The 23,182-nt window shown below is 38.7% G+C and overlaps 1 long non-coding RNA gene across 1 annotated transcript; it reads left to right on the forward strand.

Moving 5' to 3' along the window:
- The first annotated feature begins 1,074 nt into the window (after positions 1 to 1,074).
- On the forward strand, positions 1,075 to 13,825 carry LINC01986 (long intergenic non-protein coding RNA 1986). The gene is made up of 4 exons (NR_110824.1): positions 1,075 to 1,123; positions 4,095 to 4,155; positions 13,085 to 13,136; positions 13,292 to 13,825. It is a non-coding gene; the product is annotated as a long intergenic non-protein coding RNA 1986 (long non-coding RNA).
- The last annotated feature ends 9,357 nt before the right edge of the window (positions 13,826 to 23,182 follow it).

Raw genomic sequence — 23,182 nt, forward strand, 5'->3', positions numbered from 1 at the left:
AACCCTAACCCCTAACCCCTAACCCTAACCCTAACCCTAACCCCGAACCCGAACCCGAACCCGAACCCTAACCCTTAACCCTAACCCTAACCCTACCCCTACCCCTACCCCTACCCCTACCCCTAACCCTTAACCCTTAACCCTAACCCTTAACCCTAACCCTAACCCCAACCCCAACCCCAACCCCAACCCCAACCCTATCCCTCACCCTCACCCTCACCCTCACCCTCACCCTCACCCCGACCCCGACCCCGACCCCGACCCCGACCCCGACCCCGACCCCGACCCCGACCCTAACCGTAACCCTCTCTGCAGGCGCAGAGAGGCGCGCGGCGCCGGCGCAGGCGCAGAGAGGCGCGCGGCGCCGGCGCAGGCGCAGAGAGGCGCGCGGCGCCGGCGCAGGCGCAGAGAGGCGCGCGGCGCCGGCGCAGGCGCAGAGAGGCGCGCGGCGCCGGCGCAGGCGCAGAGAGGCGCGCGGCGCCGGCGCAGGCGCAGAGAGGCGCGCGGCGCCGGCGCAGGCGCAGAGAGGCGCGCGGCGCCGGCGCAGGCGCAGAGAGGCGCGCGGCGCCGGCGCAGGCGCAGAGAGGCGCGCGGCGCCGGCGCAGGCGCAGAGAGGCGCGCGGCGCCGGCGCAGGCGCAGAGAGGCGCGCGGCGCCGGCGCAGGCGCAGAGAGGCGCGCGGCGCCGGCGCAGGCGCAGAGAGGCGCGCGGCGCCGGCGCAGGCGCAGAGAGGCGCGCGGCGCCGGCGCAGGCGCAGAGAGGGCGCGCGCGCCGGCGCAGGCGCAGAGAGGCGCGCGGCGCCGGCGCAGGCGCAGAGAGGCGCGCGGCGCCGGCGCAGGCGCAGAGAGGCGCGCGGCGCCGGCGCAGGCGCAGAGAGGCGCGCGGCGCCGGCGCAGGCGCAGAGAGGCGCGCGGCGCCGGCGCAGGCGCAGAGAGGCGCGCGGCGCCGGCGCAGGCGCAGAGAGGCGCGCGGCGCCGGCGCAGGCGCAGAGAGGCGCGCGGCGCCGGCGCAGGCGCAGAGAGGCGCGCGGCGCCGGCGCAGGCGCAGAGAGGCGCGCGGCGCCGGCGCAGGCGCAGCGCCGGCGCAGGCGCAGAGAGACACAACGACGTCTACTTTGTTCCTTGGTCAGTCGATGGCCTGCGGGTGTCTGCTGGTGTCTGGCCGTGTGCTCTTTCTCGACGTACAGCTGTTTGTGTGTGTGCCCGCGACAGTCTCGGGTTTTGATGGGCACAGGATGGGGGGCCAAAAGGCAAAACTGTTTTGGTGGGCAAAAACAGAAATGCCTGTCCTCATTTAGGTCCATGGGCACAGGCCCGAGGTTGTAGCCCTTGCCAGGGATCCTGCCCTTCTCTACTCAGCACTTCGCTGCCCCTCTCCTGAATCACATCAATTAAGAACTTTCTTCACCACCCCTTCGCTGTCATCCTTTTCTCTCCACTATTCACCCAACATCATCCGGGACCAGAACTAATGTCAGCAAAGCAGGGGAAGGAAGTAAACTTCTAGGAGTAGAAGAAAGGATGAAAAAGCCAACCACAACCCCCTTTCTTCATTAAAGGCTTCCCTCTACCGTACTCGAAAACAACTTTGCCATTTTGATAATCAAATGAAAAAGTATAGTTTCTAACTCTGTACTATTTGTACACTATTTGTACTTTCTAAATCTATACTATTCGTATTATTTAAAAGTGACCATAAATATTATAAACTAAGTTAACCAAGGTTTTGCCTGGAGGCAAGGGAAGACCAAATCCCATGATACAACTTAAATAGTTGAATTCCACTTATGTGAAAACACACACATATGTTTAAAAGGCATATATGTATAAAAATGGATATCAAATGGTATGAAATAATTTGCACTAAATTGATAATTGAGGAAAAAATGTGAAGAGAAACTTCCAGACCAAAAGCTTCATGGGCAAAAGAACCATATCTTCACATCCTTAATGAGGATAAGGATTGCAGAGGCAGTACTTTGTAGGTATGTAGGAGCTCAGAAGTTATTGTTGAATGAATGAATGAATGAATGACTTCTGCTTTACACTGTATATTGCTCTTAAGTTAAAAATTAAAGACACTGGCTGGGCATGGTAGCTTATGCTTGTAATCCCAGCACTTTGGGAAGCTAAGGCTGGCAGATCACTTGAGGTCAGGAGTTCAAGACCAGCCTGGCCAACATTGTGAAACCCTGTCTCTACTAAAAATACAAAAATTAGCTAGACATGGTGGCACCCACCTGTAATCCCAGCTACTCAGAAGGCTGACGCATAAGAATTGATGGAACCCAAGAGGTGGGCGGCTGCAGTGAGCTGAGACTGTGCCACTACACTCTAGCCTGGGCAGCAGAGTGATACTCTGTCTCAAAAATCAATCAATTAATAAATAAAATAAAATAAAAATTGAAGACACTGGGCCAGGTGCAGTGGCTTAAGCCTGTAATCCCAGCACCTTGGGAGGCCGAGGCGGGTGGATCACCTGAGGTAGAGAACTCGAGACCAACCTGACCTACATGGAGAAACCCCGTCTCTACTAAAAATATAAAAAATTAGCTGGGCGTGGTGGTGGGCGCCTGTAATCCCAGCTACTAGGGAGGCTGAGGCAGGAGAATCGCTTGAACCCGGGAGGAGGAGGTTATGGTGAGCCGAGATTGCGCCATTGCACTCCAGCCTGGGCAACAAGAGCGAAACTCCGTCTCAAAAAAAAAAACATTGAAGACACTGCATTTGTGTGCTATTCCTAAAATTAAAATCAACCAACCAACCAATCTATCTACATGACAAATAACTAAGAAAACAGTACTACCAAAGCTCTAGAAACAAGCACTTTGAATTGAAGCAAGCCTTCTAAGGTATCAATACACTAAGTACTGAATCTTAAAAATGATTTTACTCCACATAGGTTAAATTTTTTATTCTTTTTGTTAAAAATCAGTAACACAAATGTATGCTACGTTTTCTCTCATTTAAAGATTGAAGAGAAGTTTGTTAATCCAAAGCCAACAGGAAGCTCACAAGTAATTCCACAGTGTATCTTCCAGAAACAACTTCTGCATAGGGTAAAACTACTGCTCACAGACATAGATACAAAGCGGCCACACTACACTGATTAAAATTGAGCCATAACTTTTATGAGCTTTAATACAACTACTTTTTTAATGCTGCTTTTTGTCTCCTTGTTTACAAGACAAAGAAGTTTCTAACTGTACTATTTGATGCTTCCTTACACATTTAGGGAAAGGAGTTTTATAGAGACATAAAATTAGACATGGAGATTACTTCATTTTTAACTGGTTTTGAAAATATGTCTAATAGAGCACATTTTTATTTAGAAATAACAAACAGGTTAATATAAAAAAGAGAGATCATTATCTCTTAGTGTGTTCACCATGGTCTTGTTAACTAGAAAGAACTGCGAGAGAAGAAAGAACATTTAGGGACCCAGGAAAGTGTGCATATCTAGTATTTGCCTCATGTTGAAAGAGAAAGGCAGGGCTTCAGAATTCACTTTCATTCAGGTTTAAAAAATTCAGGCAAAGAACATTTGCCCTCTGCTGGATTATTTTGGGAAAAATACAGATTTTCTTTTTTCTAACTATTAAAGTAGAATGGAAGAATAGAGTGACAAAGAGACACAGGGAAAGTAAAAAAAAAAAAAAGAAAAGAGGAAAAAAGGAAAGAATGAAGAAAAGAAGGGAGGGAAGAAAAAAATTAGAGAGGGAATAATATATATACAGAAGGAAATAGATTACATTCGCATTGTTGCTGGAAATACTTAATTTAGTCTGGTACACACAGACCTCAAATTCTTCTATTTTATATTATTTTCTCAACTCAAATCTGAAAATGGTCCCCAGAATAGAAACCATTTAACTTTAGGCCTTTCTCTGGTACTAAAGTGACACTAGACTAATAGACAATTATGACCACTTTAATGGATGACTGAGTTATCATCATCCTATGAAAGTTAATTTTGGTTTTGAAAATTTAACAAGATTTCTGCAACCTTAATTAGGTATTCATTAATACAGTTTAAGGTGATGAATGCCTTCCAAAAAGTAAAATATGAGTTTAAATTTGCATTCACTCTCCACAGGGTTACACATTTCCTGAGAGTATCTACATATTCATAGGCAACACCGATGTGAATGTGACAGGCAAGTATTGGAGGGAGTGGCCAATGACTCACAGTTTTCTTGGCATTACAGTTAATGGGGAAACTTCTCTCCTGTCTTTGGAGTTCTTTATCTCAACATGACTGATTGCTTCATCCTCAAAGTCTCCTTTTCCAATACCCTGCCTCTCATTTTGAGCCCTGAAGGAATCGCACATCCAAGTGCTCCCTCTCTCATAAGTTCCCGTGTGCTCTTAACATAATGACTACCTGAGACTTTCAGGAGAGAGTCCGAGGTGGAAGAGGTGTAAATACTCTAAGGAGCCTTATTACCTCTTCCACTCTCCACCTCTCCTCCACAGCATGTTTCCTAACTACTTCCAAAAGACTGAAACATTGATGGATGGAACAGAGCTTAACCTTCACATGAAGATCTGTTGATGCCATCCTAAAATATCCTTAAATCCATCTCATTTTCTACATTTCTCTGCCATCCTCACAGTCTAAGCCACTGTCTTCTGTCACCTGAATCACAGCCGTACACATCAAACTGGTGTCTCTCTTATCATACCCCCTTCAGACTATTTCAGGAGCTTTGGAGCAACACTTTTGGGGGTTCGGATCTTGGATATGTCTTTCATTAGCAGTTGATCATGGACAAGTTCGTCTACTTTTGTGATCCACAGCTTTGTCATCTTAAAATTGGATGAATCTATCTCATAGATGTATTTCAAACCAGACACACTCACATAAGTAGTATATAACTTGACCACAGAAGTTGCTCAAAATTAGCTATTTATGCTGTTGTCTTTTAGGTAGATGTTACTCAAAAAATTTACAAACAGGATATGTAAAAATGTCATAATTAACTCAAATTCAAAATAGAACCATTTTAGTCTCTTATGAATGGTACAAACTAAGAATTATGGAGATTGGGAGGATAGAGATATCTTTTTCTGGAAGTGAGAAGATCTCCCAAAGAAAGCAAACACTGGTGCATTTCTGCTTTTGTTTGTCTATATTTTTGCTAAGTTTAGAAAAGAGTTAAAGAGTAACAGCGCTCCCTAATGGATAAAACAAAATTCTTTATCTATTAGGATGAAGCAAAATTCTTTATCTATTAGGATAAAGAATTATTTACCCACAAAACTAGAGAAACCATTTATCCCTGGAGATTTTATTCCATATATTAAATATGATTTGTGTTGGGGGAATGTCTGCACACACACATTTTAGTTTGGATGAAAAGCAGCAAGGTTAATTTCTTCATTAGAAACTTCTGATTGGAAGTAAGAATTCTACACAGTCTGTATTGTTGTAGAATGCCCCATTGGTTTGTTTGCCTGTATTCCCTGTGAGTTTACAGTGCTAGGAGAAATTTCCACCTTCTCTCAGTTCTGCCTTCCTTTAGTTGGAATTCAGAGCACTAATAAACCCTTTCTTTGCCTTTCTTTTTCTCAATTCAGCACTTGATATCTACCTTGGTAACATTATTCCCTTTCTTTTAGGATGTCTCTACTTTCAGTCCAAATACTTTGATAGGATAGTTAATTACTCTCTCTTCCTTATATAGCCATAGTGATTGGCTCCGAAACAGATGCAGAACAAAATAGACAATCACAATGCTTTTCAGAGACTTCAGAGATGGCTACATGGGGAGAGATGTTTTCTTTCTAGCCTTTCAACTGGGATAATTTCAACTGGGGAAGAATAGTTTCTATGACTGCACCTATATGGCTCAACAGTTTCACAATGCAAAAGAATAACATAGAAGGTGAAGCCAGACGTAATGACTCATACCAGTAATTTTAGAACTTTGGAAGGCCAAGACAGGAGGACCACTTGAGTCTAGGAGTTTGACTGAGACCAGCCTGGCAAACATAGCAAAACCTCATGTCTACAAAAAACAAACAAACAAACAAAAAAAGTGAGTTGGATTTGGTGGCTCACATCTGTAGTCCCAGTTACTTGGGAGGCTCACACAGGAGGATTGCTTGAGCCCAAGAGTTTGAAGCTGCAGTGAACTGTGATCTTGCCACTGCACTCCAGTTTGGGCAACAGAGTGAGGCCTTGTCTCTAAAAACAAATGAACAAATAAAGAAGGTGCATGCAAAGATGAAGAAATTGAAAAGAAAAGAGAGACATAATTAAAACTTTAAAAACTCAGTTTTTTTAAATTTCCAACCCTTGAATTTTTAGTTATAAGTAAGGTAAGGTATTCCTTTCATTTAAGCAATTCTGACTTGAATTTTTAACACTGACATACATGGGTTCTCACTAACGGACATTTCTTTTGTCAATATTATTAAAAAAATTTTTTTTACAGGCTGGGCACAGTAGCTCATGCTTGTAATCCCAGCATTTTTTGGAGGCCTAGGTGGGAGGATCGCTTGAGTCCAGGAATTCAAGACCAGCCTAGGCGACATAGTGAAACTCTGTCTCCACAAAAAATTAAAAAAAAAAAATAGCCGGGTATGGTGGTGCCCACCTGTAGTGCCAGCTACGTTGGAGGTTGAGGTGGGAGGATCACTTGAGACCAGGAGGTAGAGGTTGCTGTGAGCTGAGATCACACCACTGCATTCCAGGCATTCTATTAACAAAAGGCAAAATATCCTTCTTAAATTTGAGGTTGTATGTAGGTTATTGTAGCTTAAGTCATATAGATGATGACTGATTTACCCTTTTACTCTGCATGCAGCTTCTCCTGATGGAGTATCGTTTGTGTGAGAAGAGCAGATTGGGACTCAATGAGAATATTGCCTCAGAAAAATTGTATTTAGTGAAAGTAACATCACTCTGTATCTAATGAACAAAGCAGGGAGAGCCATTTACCTGGCTTTTCAGGACATTGTAAGTCCAGAAAAATTAGGAGTAGGCAAAGAAATCATGACTCCACGTGAATGTTAGCTAGGAGGCAAAGGAATATTAATGTCATAGATGACATTCCACTGAAGGCACAGGGATAGATGAACACGCTGAGAGCACTGGACAAGCCTTTGTGCTTGACGTGGCGCAGAGCCACCATCAAGTCTCAAATCACAAAAGCCTGACGTACAAAGACACCTGGGCATTCTGGTGACCCAGGGCTCCCTGCCACAAGAAGTGCTGTTGGATCTCTTAGAATCAATAATTGGCACTGAGAAAATTGGCATTGCATCTCCTGCAGTTTCAGTCTGTTCTTGGAGCATATTATGATGAGTAGAGCTCACGTGGATGAATCTGTTAGAAGAAAATGAAGTGTTTAACCATCTTTTTTTTTCAAAAAATGAAAGCCTTCCCAATGCTGATGGAGTTGGTTCGTTGCCTATCAGAGCATAAACTGTAAATAAATATTGCTAAAAATGCCCGGAACCTTTTTATTAAATGTTGGTGCCTCAATATTGATTTCGCGGGAGACCAAAATTTAATACGGAGACAAGCAATTTTAAGTAGGCCATGCTGGGTAGCTGCTGTGCTCTGCTCTAACTAGTAGGGACTGTCTGGAGTCTGGGACCTGTCCTCATCCACAGTCAGAGCAGACCGAATACACGGATCTCCTCCCAGAATCTGGAGAGGTCAACCTGTTCTTCAAAGCAGTGGTGGATTGGGGTTGGGGTAGGGGACAAAACAGATACAGCACCAAACATGAAAAGCATTGATTTATCTCTCTCTGCTAATGCATGTGAAGTGTTGATCCTGGGGTTGAAAGTCGGCAGAGGGCATTCTGATATGGCCTTCTTAGAACTTTCTTGGTGTCCTGCTATGACATAAAGCTCTTGAGCCTCCTCTCTTGCAAGGCTTTCTTTCAATATGCTTTGGATTTTCTGTTTTTTCCTTTAAGACTTATGTAATGAATTTCTTTCTCCTTCTCACTTCGATTGTATATTTCCTGACATAACCTCTTGTGAAAGGAGGTAAAACTTTGAAAGTAAAAATACTGGGCAGAGTGAACAAATGGCAAAAAGGTGAGGAGTTTTGCAGTGAACAGGTGGACAGTTTAGCACAAGGTGGTGGATGTGGAAAGTGACAGAAGGTTCCAAGATGATGAAACATCAAACCACATGTTTTCTTTAAAAAGAAGTTTTTCATGCCAAAAAATACTTTAATAATGAAAATGACAGAGGTATAGAACTGTTATCTCATGTTTTCCAAGGTGTACTCCTTTGCAAAACAGTTTTAAAATATTCTCAAGCAATAACAGAATTCAGTGGTCCAAGATCTTTGTGAAACCTGCAGGCCACCCGTCTGACTTAGACAGCCACAATGCCCACCAGTGTATGAGAAGTTCTAAGAAACTCTGCAGAAAGGACACACGTTTAATCGAGTGGGTCTAAATTTGTTTGATCACATACTCCTTTTCTGGGTAACACCTATGGACACCCCAAGAACTGATGCTCCAAGGAACGTACTTTGGGATATGGTCATGAGGTAGACATAAATTTACAGAAACAAGCCAAAACAAAACAAAACAAAATGACAGCTATTATTAGAAACAGGCAAAGGGGTCTGAATTCCCAGGCCTTTCAATGGTCTTGTATTATGCACTTCACTTGGGAAATATAAATTAGGAGGTCCTGGAATTTCCTAAGAAATTTCTTCCCAACCCTAACTGTTCCTTAATGTGTGACTTGGATGAACAAGATTTGATAAAGCAGGTAGAATGATAATGTTTTATTTGTAGGTGTAAAGGAAAAAAAAAGCTGGTTGTACAACAATGTGAATATACTTAACTGAACTGTACCATTAAAAATTTTATACTATGTATATTTTACCACAGTGTTTTAAAATGAGAAAAAAGATACATGAAGAAAAGTGGTCCTGTTAGCAGTCTCCCCAAAGTGTTCTTATGAAGGAGTAGCCTTCCAAACTGCAATAATAAATGTCCTGAGTTATCAAAACAGGAAACCTAGTGCTTTTGCTTTAATGAATACCATAGAACACACATGGTTTTGTAAACTATCTTTGTCTTCATTGGTTTTATGTAATGCAGCCTAACTCTTTACCTTGTTTTTAATTCCTTGAAATAATTATTTTATTTTTAATGTAAAAAAACAATAAGTAACTTATCTTTGGCGTGTCAGCACTTTAACAAAGAGACTGCCTTTCATAGGGGAGCCATTTTCCATTTTGTCATAGCTACAGTTTCGCTGAATTAAAATATACATTTTCCTAGTTGTTTTCATTTGCTTTTACAGAGAAAATTTTATAGGTAGAGATTTTGATAAGTTGGAGAATTTTTCTTACTTGCTACAATTTCATCTTCAGGTGTGTTCAAAATAAGATTGCATTTGAAAATACTTGATTATAATTAGGCAGTTGAAGAAATATAGGGATTCTAAGCTTACTGGAATCTAATGCATGTGGTTGGCATGTTTAAAGCCTTCTTAAGTGACCTCTGACATCTGATTTCAGCAATGCAAAAAGAAGGTTATAATATATTAGTAATATGACAGAAAAGCTATATAGGTATCCAAAATGAAACTTCAAAATATTTAATCATTGAAATATTTTTGAATTAAAGTGTAATTTAGTATAATAGAGGTATTACAAAAAATTGTACAACTTGAGTGTAAAAGAGTTCATATAAATTAGTTACATATGTCTTTGAACAATTGTTTAGTTTATAAATCCAATCATAATTTGCCCCTAATAGAACAACAAATAATTTAGGAAGATTTTTTTTGTTTTCTTAGAAGTATTGCTGTAGCATATTAATTTCAATCTTGAATCAAAATTTAGATTTTTGATCAAATTCCAACATGCTTCACAAAAAATTTTTTTTTCTGCAGTGAATACATTCCATGTGCTATGACTTCATTGTTGGATGCTGGTATGTCTTAACTATAATCAGAGTAGACATGTTTTTCTCTATGTTTCAGCCATAGCAATATGAAGCAAGAGTCTGGAGACTTGGGTTAGATGACCAGTTATGGTTAGGAAACCTGTAGCCTGTTACTTACTATAAATTCCTATTCCCTTAAACAATTGTTATGAGGCTTAAATGAAAAAAATGTGATCATACTAGTAGGTAGTTTAACACTTAATGTTCTTGGCAAATAGATGCTCTCAGATAGCATTAACCATTGTTATTTATCATTATTATTTATTCATTCATTCTTTCAGAAACTATTGACTATATAGCTTGTTGTAGCTGTTTCGGATATAGCAGCAATCAAGAATGACAAGGTTTCTGCTTTCATTGAACTTGTAATTATAATGAGAAAATAACAAATAAATATAATTATTGAGTAAACAACATGTTAAAAAGTGGTAAGTGCTGCAGAAAAAATTGAAGTAAAACAAGGGAAAAGGAATTGAAGTGTCAGGTGGCAGCTGGTTGGAAAATTAAATACAGTGCTTTTCATAGGACTCGTTGATAAGATGAGATTTGAGTGAAGACTTGTAGGAGGAAATAAGGTGGGAAGAACTTTCAGGAAGAGTTAATAGGAAAAGAAAACCATAAAGAACAAGCTGATGTGGGCTTTTGAGTACAATAGGCAGGCCATTGTGACTGGACTGAAGAGACTGAGGGATATAGAAGATGGAGATAAGGTCAGGGAAAGGTTGAGGGTGGGCGTGGAGTCAGACCTTGGAGTTCCTTCCTAGCAAGGATTTGGGCAATTACTTTGAGTAAATAATGAGACACGCTAGAATTTTGAAAAAAGAAATGACACTTGGCTGTTTGGATAATTATCTTTGCTAGAACAATGAATACTATCTATGGCCCAATGTCTTGCCTTGTCAATTAATATTTATTGAGCACATTTTCAGGCACTTTGAATTGAAGATATAGACAGACAAAAAGTTTCTTTGTCTTTCTATCCCATGACTGTATTTTGCACAAGGTCAATAAGAGGCTTCAGTGTTTTTACAATTACCAAGAGGATGGGATTTGTTATTGTGTGCAGATAAAATGTGCTGATGCCTCCATTATTTATGGGATGAGATAAAAGTCATGCAGCCTTCTGAGACAAAAGGCAGGTATATGTTTTATATGTATGTTTTTAATGTGTTCTGTCATAGACATTATACCTTCTATAGCCCAGGGATTACCTAATGTAAATTTCAGGTGGAGTAAAACTGTCAACATTTAATATTTTTTATGACTTACATTTATGTAGCTAGGGGACAAACATCTCACTTTAGAAAACTGTGTGTATTAGGTAGAGTGAAATTGGTTTTCTCATTTTATTTTCTTAAAGTATCTAGTGTTTATGTTAGAGAAAAACAATACCCCTAAGCTTAGGGGTGGTTTCTAAATTTTAAGGGCCTTTATGTGAAAGAAAAAAAATGTTCCCAATGATTAAAATGCTTTAGAAATATTTTAACGTATAAAATCTGATTTCATAAATTTAGAAAATAAAAATATTTGTCTTTATTTTAAAGTAAATAGAGGCCAGGCGCAGTCCCTTACACCTGTAATCTCAGCACTTTGGGAGGCTGAGGCAGGAGGATCGCCTGAGCCTGGGAGATGAGGCTGCAGTGAGCTATGACAGCACCACTGCACTCCAGCCTGGGCAACAGAGAGAGACGCTGTCTCAAACATTAATAAATAAATAAATAAATAAATAAATAAATAAATAAAGCACATGGGATATGCTGTCAGCTAACAACAAGGGCAATAGTCTCGATCAATTCTCAGCAGAATCTTATTCCTACTTTTTGTTATTGTTTTTCTTGTGGTAAATTAGGGTTCAAGTGTGGCCGTGAAGCAGAGAAAGGTAATCTAGTTACAAATAACACAATACATCTAATTCACAGCTAATGCTGGCAAGGTTATGTGAGTCAAGGCACTGTCAGGAACTATTGATGATGGTATAAAATGTTGTAATTTTCTGCAGAGAAATTTCATAATATATTCCAAAAAGCTTTAAAATATTTATACCGTTTGAATAATTCAACATCTAGAAATGTATGCTAAAGCAATGGCTTATATTTAGTGGTAAAATTAAGAATCAGTCTCTTTGAAATCAGGAAGAAAATATGCCCATTAAAACAGCTTGGAGTAGGGGAGGTATAGAGACATTGGTTAATTGATACAAAATACAGTTAGATCTAAGGAATAAGCAAGGTGGCTACAATTAACAATAATACGTTGTATATTTCAAAATCGCTAGAAGAGAAGATTTGAAATGTACCCAACACAAAGAAATGGTGAATGTTTGAGCTTATAGATATCCTAAATACCCTGATTTGATCATTATGCATTGTATGTTTATCAAAATAGCACCTGTGCCCCATAAAGATGTACAATTTAACTTAAAATAAAACAGTATAATCAACATGTTACTAAATTTCCCAGACAATGCAATAAGATATGAAACATAAATGGAAAGTAGATATATTAGAAAGAAAGATGCAAAATTTTAATTACAGCTGATAGGATTGTCTCCATAAAAATTCAGGAAATTCTACAGCTAAACTATTACAGCAAATTAGATTTTAGCAATGTAGGTGAATGTAAGAGATCCATACTAAAAAAAAGTCAGAGTCTCTGCGTAGCAGCAATTAGAAAATATAATTAAGAAATAAGTAGAGACAACCATCAGAATTATATATTAGTATCTAATTATAGCAATGTTTAGATTTAAAATAATCAAGAGAATCCTAAATGTAAAGCACTAGGAAAATAGTGACATACATTATGATATATTTCTACAATGGAATATTGCTCCAGTCAGAGACCCTAAAGAAAAGACATAATTGTCACAAATTTAAGCTATTTGAAGAGGATCTAAGTGTGTGACAAGAAATCATAAGGAATGCAATGTCCGGGCTGGAATGGATAAGGAGTAATTAACAAAATCTGGATGAAAAGTGACTCTCCTTGAGAGCAGCAGCCAATCAGAGTTAATCCAGTAAGAAGGAACAAGGTGAATACAAATGCCTGACTTCAGGCCTCCTCCTTTCTCTGCTATTTTACCCTAGTTCCCCATTGTCCAAACCCACCTGAAACCAGAGATCTAAGGAGCTGTTTTATTTCATATACACAGATTAGCTCCAGAAAGAAAGCAGTGTGAAAAAGATGAAACACAGATTTGAAAGGTAAAATGGGAAATACTGTGCAGTTATTTAAAATTATATATTCATAAGTGATTTAGTGAATGGGAATATGTTTACTCTGAATACAGTAAAAAAAAGTAAGATGTATAAAATAAATAATTATATACTCAATGAAATTCCCATTCTTCTCTCTCAAGCAATCTTGAAGATCAGACAGAAAACCAGCCTATGAATCAAAGAAGAAAATCAAAATCAGACTTCATAACTGCTTCAGTAACCCTTGGCAACAGACAACACACTGGATTTTGGCGAATAACACTAAAATTTTTGCTGGTGAGGTCTTCAGAAACTGGATAGATGTGAAACCACCAGAACAGAAGTGGAGCGGGCATGGTATCTGTTTCTTCAATTTGTAGTTTTATAGTCAAAAACTGGCATGTATATACTTAATTGGTAACATGTAAGTCACGTGCCTCTATCCCAACTCTAAGAGAGGTTGAGAACTTAATTTCTGGCTTCTACCTTGGGAAGGATCAGGCTTATAAGCTGGAAAATTAGCCAACATACACAGGATATTCAAAGCTTCTAGGCAGTCAAAATACTGTCAAGTGGTAAAACAGACATGAAAAAACCTTTTTTTCTCTCCTAAATTTAAAAAAATATAATTTTTGTAAAACACTGTATGTGGCTTTCCATAAAATTAAAAGAGTCTTGGGAGAGAGAACATCTCATATGCTTCCTAGTGAATTACTTCCACACTAAAGCAATTAATGAAAATGAAAATACCGTGTATAATATTTTTAAAGCAGCCTTTTCACTGATAAATATGTTTTAGGTATATATACAGCTATGGAAAAGTTTTCCTCATAACAATTCCATTTTATCTCAGGTATAATCGGTCAGGAGAAATTATTTCTTGTTGCTAAAAATGGAACAAAACGTTTGAGCTAAAGAAACACATTTCTCATTCAACACACACATCCACAGAAGTTTCTTCTCATGCCAAAGTGAGCAAATCTACACTTGGGATTGTACAATTTTTATGAAAGTAATTAACAAATAAAACATTTAAAAGAAAATTAATTTTCTTACCTATAATTAATATCTATCACCTTGGCACCTACTAACAAAATTTTCTACTTAATGGTGATGTTTCAAACTATGGTCCTGCTCTATTTATGATAATATTTGGTCTGCCCTATATAGGCTTTATATTACATTTAAATTATATGTGTACATTGCTTTTTTCATATTAAGACATGTCTATACAAATATTAGTAGCAAATATATTATTAATTTTTATTCCAATTTATGGTGGAGTCTTTGGCTTCTTCAAGTGGATCACTACCCTAGCTGTCCAGAGCTCCACACCTATTCTCCTGTGTTTTCCAGTGTCCGGCCATACAGAGTTTATCAGAGCCCAAGAATAGACTTGTGGTATAGAATGGCGTTTCTGTTGCCAGTGAGAGGGTTCCTGAATGCTGATGAAGCAAAATTTTCACCAGACCCCTTGAGTAAAATTGATAGTGTTAAATCAAGTATAGCCAAAAGCTGCCTCCTTACATATTTTAAGTTCATCCTAAAGGTTTTTCCATACATCATGTACTATAACCTAAATGGAGTTGTAAACAGACTATAGTCTACTCTTGTGCCAATCCCTGAGAAAACTTTGATTGGCCAATCAAAGGTGGCAAACTATTCAAACCATGTTCAAATAAGGCAAACACTGAGCGTCACCAGTCCGGCTGCTTCTGTACCTCACTTCCATTTTCCATATGTCACTTTCTTTTTTTTCCTGTCCATAAATCTTCTTCTACCAGGTGGCTGCACTGGAGTCTCTGAGCCCATTGTGGCTCAGAGAGACTGCCTGATTCACTCTTTGCTCAATTAAACTCTTTTAAATTTAATTTGGCTACAGTTTTTCTTTTAACAACCTATACCTTGGAAACAAGGGACAGGAGGTGCTTGTGCAGTGAAAACTGGGTGTTCTTCAGTATGGCTTAGCACTCCCATGGCAGTTGCACACTTAAAACGTTTCCTTTTTTCGCTCTGTCAGATTTCCTACTCAGCTCTTTCAGGGTGCTAGACTTACTCCCTTCTTTAGGAACTGCCTTACCAAGCAGTATCCACTTTTTTTTTCTTTTAGTAAGAAAATACTTCCAGTTATACTTGGGTACATTGCTGCCCACTGAAGACTACATTTTCCAGCCTCCCTTACAGTTAGATGTGTCCATGTGACCAAATTTGGGCCAATGGAATGTGCATAGGAGATAGGTGTACAATTCAAGCTCTTTCCTTCTTTTGTTATTTCAAAATAAACCTTGATACCTATCTAAATGGCACACCAAAATCATCACTAATTCCAAAATTAATTTTTATTTATTTGCGGGAAAGGAGAGCCCAATCTTCAAATCATGTTAGAAATTAAAAGGAAATATTTGTAGCTATTCTTCTAGCATATCAAAGAAAGGAAAGTAAAATGCCAGACAGTAGGTTTCCATATTCAATTTTGCAATCCAGTAATTTTCTAATACCTATGAGTCCTGCATACATGATTTGGAAAGCATATATTACTTAAGAAATTTATAAAGTGCAGTAACCACTTTGGGAAGCTGAGGTGGGAAGATTGCTTGAGGGTAGGAGTTTGAGACCAGCTTGGGCAACAAACTCCACCTCTACAAAATAATAATTATTAATAATAATAATTAGCCAGGTCTGGTGGCAGGTGTCTGTAGTTCCAGCTATTTGGGAGACTGAGGCAGCAGGGCCCCTTGAGCCCTGGAGTTTGAGGCTGCAGTGAGCTATGATTGTGCCACTGCACTCCAGTCTGGATGACAGACCAAGACTTTCTTTCAAAACACAAAAAAAGTAAAATACAATAACATGTATCTGCTATCATTCACTAAAATAATGTATTTTCTTCCACAAAACACCTTTTTCTTCTTATTTCCACAGCATATCAGAAAGATTGAATAAATTTCCAAAATATTAGACAGAAAGGGATTTAATGGTGCATTTGTTTTGATTTTCTTATTTCCAGGACAGGAGACTGAGAAACAGATTCACTGGGCAGCTTACCCAAACTGAAAGGGCCAACCAGAGGCAGTGCTAGAATTAAACCTAGCTTCGTTGCTTTTAATAATTATGCCTTCTGCTTATCCACATGTTTATTTTCTTGAACAGCAGGCTTGTAATATTTGACCTTCTGTATAAATACAACTGAATGCTATAGCGATTGATACTTTTCTGGATTTTATCATAGCCAGTAAATAAATTAACAGACTTAGAAGGCTCCAGTTTAAAAATCACCCAGCCATTCAGCACTCTGGATCATGGGCCTTTCTCTTTAAAACTATACTCTCTTTGATAACAGCACAACACTCATTCCCAAAGTCCATTTTAATTACTGTGATCCTCAACATTCATAACCGTACTTCTTTCTCTTTTGCTTCTTTTTCATTCTGTCAGCAGAATATGTATTTGTTGGAAAATCTTCTTTTCCTTTATCTACACTACACACTGCATGTTTCTCATCCTTGTCACTTTCATTTGTCTATAGGAAAACTGAGTACAGTGTCTTTTAATCTCCTTTTAAGAAACCTGTCAGTAATGATGGCACAAAGCCATCCTGTGGGTCATGTGTTTATGGATGCTTTTTGTTTTATAGTTTAAGACTACTGACTGATGTTTGAATATTCAGAGCACTGACCCTTACATTCAGAGAAATCTTATCTGTAGGAAGCAGACCTAGGACGCAGCTTGTTTGCCTTTCACTCTCTAGCTTCAGCAACAGCAAACATCATTTTGCCAGTTTTGTTCCTTTCTTTTCACAGCAATCATTTTATTTCTTTATCCTAGACCATTAGTTTTGCAGTACTCATGAGCCTCTTTCAACTCCCTCGAGAGTGTCATGGCATCCTCTAAAGGTAACTTGTGGGGCATGCAAATCTCTCTGCCTTGACATCTTTCACCCCTACAGGTAGGGTTTGATGCTGTACCTTTGCACTACTTGGTGGCATATCTTTCTCCTCACCACCACCCTCCCACCCCCGGCACCCCACTGCTGGCTTCAACTCCAAAACTTAGAGCATGGTTGGGTGTCCATCACCTTCTCTTTTTGCAGGAACTATAAAATACATAGATAAGTGTATAATCTGTACAACTAATGCCCATTTCATCACTGGCATTTACAAAAATGAAGAAATGAAAATGCTGTAAATAAAATTAAAATCTCTTTGACTACTCCCTAAGTCTCATCACTTACACTCCTGCCCAGAGGCAATGTCTGTCAAGGGCTAATTTAATATAATTTCATCCAAATTTTCATGTTTTTCAAACATATATGCATTTGTATAAACAATACATATTGTTTTTATTGGTGAGGTTTCTATTTACAGAAATGATTGCATAGGGTATTTATTATCTTGCAATTTGCTATTTTGCAGTTATCATTATGTTTTTAAGATGTATCTGCTTACAAATGTTAATTGCTTTATGAATCATTCCATTGTGTGATTATACCTAATTTTGTTTAGTCATTTCCCTATTGGTGTTCATTCATGCCATTTCTAATTTCTACTGTTACCCAAATGAGCACATTTACGTGTGTCTCCTTGTGAACTTGTGTTTTACTAGAGTATACACCTAAAAGTAAGATTAATGGGTTACAGGATCTGTGAATTTTAGTTTTACAAGATATGCCAAATATCTTCCCAAACAGGACTTATCAACCTTAATTTTTATGAGTAGTATATAAAAATATTTATTTTCCAAAATGCCCCCAATATTGAATGTACATAGACTTCTAAAAATAATATCTGAATTCAACAATCTTAACTTGAATCATCCTTATTATTTCCTATTAAGAATAGAGAGGCCAGGAATGGTGGCTGATGCCTGTAATCCCAGCACTTTGGGAGGACAGGACAGATGGATCACCTGAGGTCAGGAGTTAGAGACCAGCCTGGATGACATGGTGAAACCTCATCTCTACTAAAAATACATAAATTAGCTGGGCATGGTGGCACGTGCCTGTAGTCCCAGCTACTTGGGAGGCTGAGGCAGGAGAAGTGCTCGAACCCAGGAGACAAAGTTGCAGTGAGCCAAGGTCGCACCACTGCACTCCAGCCTGGGTGACAGAGTGAGACTCTGTTCCCCAAAAATAAATGCATAAATAAAAAATAAAGAATAGAAGTATTTCCAATTACTTTGAAAGTACTGTAAATAAACAAATACACGAAGTGGTACACATAACTTTAATCTGTTAAACCCTGAAGTACATCAATTTTGCTTTAAATGTAACAAAGCCTAATTAATTAATTCAGTCCTCCATTCTCGTTTATTACATTTCTTACAAGCTCTAGATACTGTGCCAGGTTCTGGGGATAAAATATTGCACAGTGGGACTGTTCCCTGGAGAAACTTACAATGTAGTGGGAGAAACAGATACCCAAACACCTAGTCACAATAAAGTCAAATAAGTGCTATCATAAAAGGAAGTTGCAGGTGATATACGAGAACAGGGGAGAATGCCTAGGATTCCTAAAGGGAAGAGAAGGTTGGACTTAGTCAGGTTAGGTGTGGGGTCAAGGGAAGTGAATTTATGAAAGGTTTGAGAAAGGATTATCCATGCAGAAGAATGACATGTGCAGAGAACTGGAGGCTAAAGAGATGAGCAGATTCTCAATTCTATCAAAGAATTCAGTAGCCTACTTGGGACAAGAGAAGATATAGTCTGGTGTTGGTACATGAAGAGATTTTAATACCGTATACTTAAATAGTTCGGATTTTGTTTGTTTGCTTCTAAGGAAGATGAGGAACCATCAAAAGACTTTAAAACAAGATGGCGATGACTACATCATCAAAACTGAGCATTATGAGTAAGACTCAGAAAAGCACATAGGAGAAATACTAGCAAGAGCAGAGAAGAGGCAGATGGATCAATGAAGGAAAGAGACAATGGTGACAAAAACTAGTAGAGATGGAAAATGGGCTGTAGAAAGACATTTAAAGGAAGTAAAATCAACTGAACTTTGTTCATTCAGTACATATTGAGCATTCACTATGTGTCAGGCAAAGTTCTGGGTATTTGAGATTCATCAGTGAAAAAAATGAACAAAACAAACCAAAAAAGAAAAAAAAATATCTGCTTTTGGAGCTTATGTTCTTGTGGTTGTGTTTATCTAACCCACTGATTTCATGAAGGAGGGCTGTGGTGCAGAGAGGAATCATGGGCACACAGTAGGTAGTAAGAATGTGGAAGATCTGGATCTTCAAGAGTTGGAGCTTCCTTCACAGGACACTTGATGAAAGCTAGCATTGTTCAAAGGGAACCAACGAATCTACTTTGAGTAGCAGACATATTTGCTAATCAAATAAACTTGATATAATGTATTTGAGGGTAAAAATCATTTGAAGTTATATTTAATGTTTTGCTGGGTATATCTCAGTTTCTAGCGTGTTAGTTCCCTAAGATGTGACTCCTAGGCATGAGAATCTGTATTTTGAATTGAAAGAAGATGCACAGTTTCTGGATACAACTAGATAATAGCAGGCTGACTTTTCTAGCACATACACGAGGCACAGTACTTAAGGCCCACGGTACTGTTAAGGGCCTAAAAAAGTGTTTTATTTTTAATCAGAGAAAATAAATGAACTTTTAGGCCAAAGAAAATAATACATAATATTAATATATTCACCTTTAAGACAATGTATTCATAAAATATAACTTTAAACCTTTTTTGGAGGAAGGGGACCAGGAGGATAAAAGTACCTGTGCCCGTCGAAGTCATAACACGGCTCTCTATAAAAGGGAAAGAGGGAATTCTGTTTTATTTTAATATGTTAAAAACAACCCAACAACCTCATTTTATTATTGCCTTGATGGTACTCCTTACTTCTCAGCCTTCTTAGGAACTATCTGTCGGAGATTTTAAATATATCCAGATTATATTGTACCTGTTATTGTTTGGTCCTCACAAGCTCAACTTCTTGAGCTATCTTGATAACACAGTAAAAGATTCTTCACGTTCCACGATTGAACCAATGGATTTAGAATCACAAAAATGTAACTTATTCCAATCTTCACATGTCTCCTCATGTGACTTGATCGAATAAGACACTCAACCCTGGGTCTTTTATTTTAAAAAGGTGCCTTATTTACTACATCCATTGGGAAATAAGGAAGTGACATAATGATTCACCTCTGTGAAGTTGTTATCCACTTGTATTCCTAGGCCAGACAATCTTTCTCTCTTGGGAAGGGTGAAAGGTCAAGTCCATCTTGAAACGCGTAACACTGTGACTTCACTTTGTTTGAGTCTTCACAAGCTCTCAAGAGCCAAAGTGGCTTTTCCAAATAGCATGCATGTTTTCCTCCATCTTTAGCTGTGCCTTATAGTGTTCCTCTTACTCCTATCAAGAGAAACAAGTCTGCTCCTCAATGGACCATCTATCTCCTCAATGGTGGGGATCAGAAGCAAGATTGCCATTGGCTTATTTCCTCCTGAGATCCATTCAGGAGAAGCAGAATAAGTCATTATTAATTCCACTACCTTATATTATTACATAAGAAACTAAGATATTGTTATCAGGTTCTAATAACCAAGATAAGATTGCTACTTTTTTTTTTGTCATAGATTTTGTTAATCACAAATAGTCTAACACATTTTTCCTTACCCCCATGCCCATTCCTCAATAATTGCAAATTGAGTTCTCAATAATTGGAAATCAAATGTCAGAAACTTTTCTACATGCTAGGGAGCATCCCAACGTTTGTCCCTAAAGGATTTCAATTTATAAAATACATTGCAAGCTATTGGGTCAACATGTAGGTGATTTTTAACTCTCAAAACGTAAGCTTGAGAATTTAATGACAAAAATCTTTCACAAAAGCACTGTGGTCTGGGTATAGAAAATAGCTAGAATGAGATGAGAAAACAAAATTAGAGTGTAAAAGTAGTGGATCTGGGGCACCACTTAGAGGCATGGTGCTTGGTAATGCATTTTTCTGTGCTTTTCCTGGTGTGCCTCTTCCTAATGAGACATTGTGGTAACCAGGGTCCCAAGTCTAGCAAAGGTTAAATTGTTTATCTTCATTATCTCAAGTCCTGGGGAACTTAATGGCCCGCAAGGCACATGCTGAACGGTTTCTGTCCTATATAATCGAGTATGCTATATTTCCAATCAAGATAAAAACCTCAGGATATATTTTTAAAATATTTCTGTGAATGTACATTATATTTTCAGAGGGTTGATTAAGCTCGGGGCTATCATTCTTCACTGAAAATATAACATCGTTTCTGATAACCACTCAGTTTGTCCGATCCAAAATGGAAGAATTTTTTTAAATTGAGCAGAGAATTATACAATCATGTTATAGAAGCTGAAAACAATTTCATTATTTTTATCTTACTCATGATCATGAGCTCTCTCTCTTTTGAATGAGGAAAATGATGAGATTGAGGTATGATCAATCCCAAATACAATTTTAAGGTTTTTTTTTTCTTATAGGGATGGTGAGTTCATGAAAATCTACTCCTCAGTATTTGCCTGTTTCTTTCTGTGCACAGTTGTTACATATGTTAGATTGCTAGCTCTGATGAAGACACTATCTTAGACACAGAGAAAGTTAAATAAAATTCAGCCTGAAACCCCTTCATAGCAGGTCTCAGGGAGAGATGTTTGCCACATGCTAAAATCCAGAAAGGAATTCCATTATTCCTAAACATCTTTACAGCTGGGCAAAGAAGATAAGTTGACTGGTACTGCCAGTAAGTGTATGGATTTTGAGATGATTGTTATGTTCAGGGATTTCAGGCTGAATAAAATTAATTCAAGTTGTTGCTAATAAATGTTGTATGAAATCCTCAAACAATGGAGATATCTGCTTTTATATCTATTCATCCGTCCATCTATCCACTCATCCATTCATCATTAATGGAGCATATATTTATTGAGTCTTCATTATGGTGCTTACTGTAATAACAATTAGGCACTGTTCTAAGTATTAAGAATATAACAGGACATAAGCATAGTGCTCTTGACTTCCTGAAGTTTAAAGATTGGGGGGATGGGAGGTGACAGGGACCAATTAGTAAATAAGGAGCTATGATACATTTTGAAATGCAGCGAGATAAGAGTACAGAAAGGTCCTATGAGAGCCCCTGAAGGGGCAGGAAACTCAGATCTAAGAGGGTGATCAGGCAACTTCCTGAAGGAAGTGGCATCTAAGCTGAGATCTGAAGCAGAGGGAAGGATAAAGAATATCAGACAAAATAGCAAAAACAAAGGCCAGGACACTCGCATATATAATACTTTTGAAAGACCTGAAAGAAGTTAGGAAAAACTGGATTATGGTGTGCAAGTTCGGGGTCATGGAAAAGTAGGCATGATAAGGTGCACCAGGGTGCAGTATGTGGAAGTGTCTTACTGATTAGGGAGTGGTGGTGATTACAATGGGTACTCTGATTTAGTTTTTTGGAATCACATTATTTTAAATTCATTTTTAAAAGTACATTCTCATTGTCTATTTATCAATGTATTTAATTTATATAATCTTCTTTTATGAAAAAGGATTTCAGGTGGTTTCTAAAATACATAAAGTATGATGCAACTGCATGAATTCAAGGGGGTGCAAGGATATGCACAAAGGAATACCACAATCATATTACAATGAATCCTCCTACAAGGCAGATTATACTGACCTACAAGCTTCATCTGAATAACACTAACCCTTGGAGGAAAGGTATGTTGGATTCTTATAATGTGAGAAGCAGGGTTCTAGCTGCTTTCCACCTGTATCTCATTTAATCCTCAAAGACCCTGCCACTCAAAGTGCAGTCCACAGAACAACAGCATCAGCGTCACCTGGGATTTGTGAGAAATGCAGAAACTCTGGCCTCATCCCAAATCTGTTGATTCATCTACATTTTAACAAGGCCCCGGGTGATTCCTGAACACATAAAACTTTGCCAAGAACTGGACAAAGAACATTTACCTTTAATGTGTTTTTCAATTTACAGGTGAGGACACCAGGCTTCTAAGAGAATAAGTAACTTGCCCAAAACTAAACACTTAGTGAGTGCAGG

Source organism: Homo sapiens, chromosome 3, assembly GCF_000001405.40.
Source record: "Homo sapiens chromosome 3, GRCh38.p14 Primary Assembly".
NCBI lineage: Eukaryota > Metazoa > Chordata > Mammalia > Primates > Hominidae > Homo > Homo sapiens.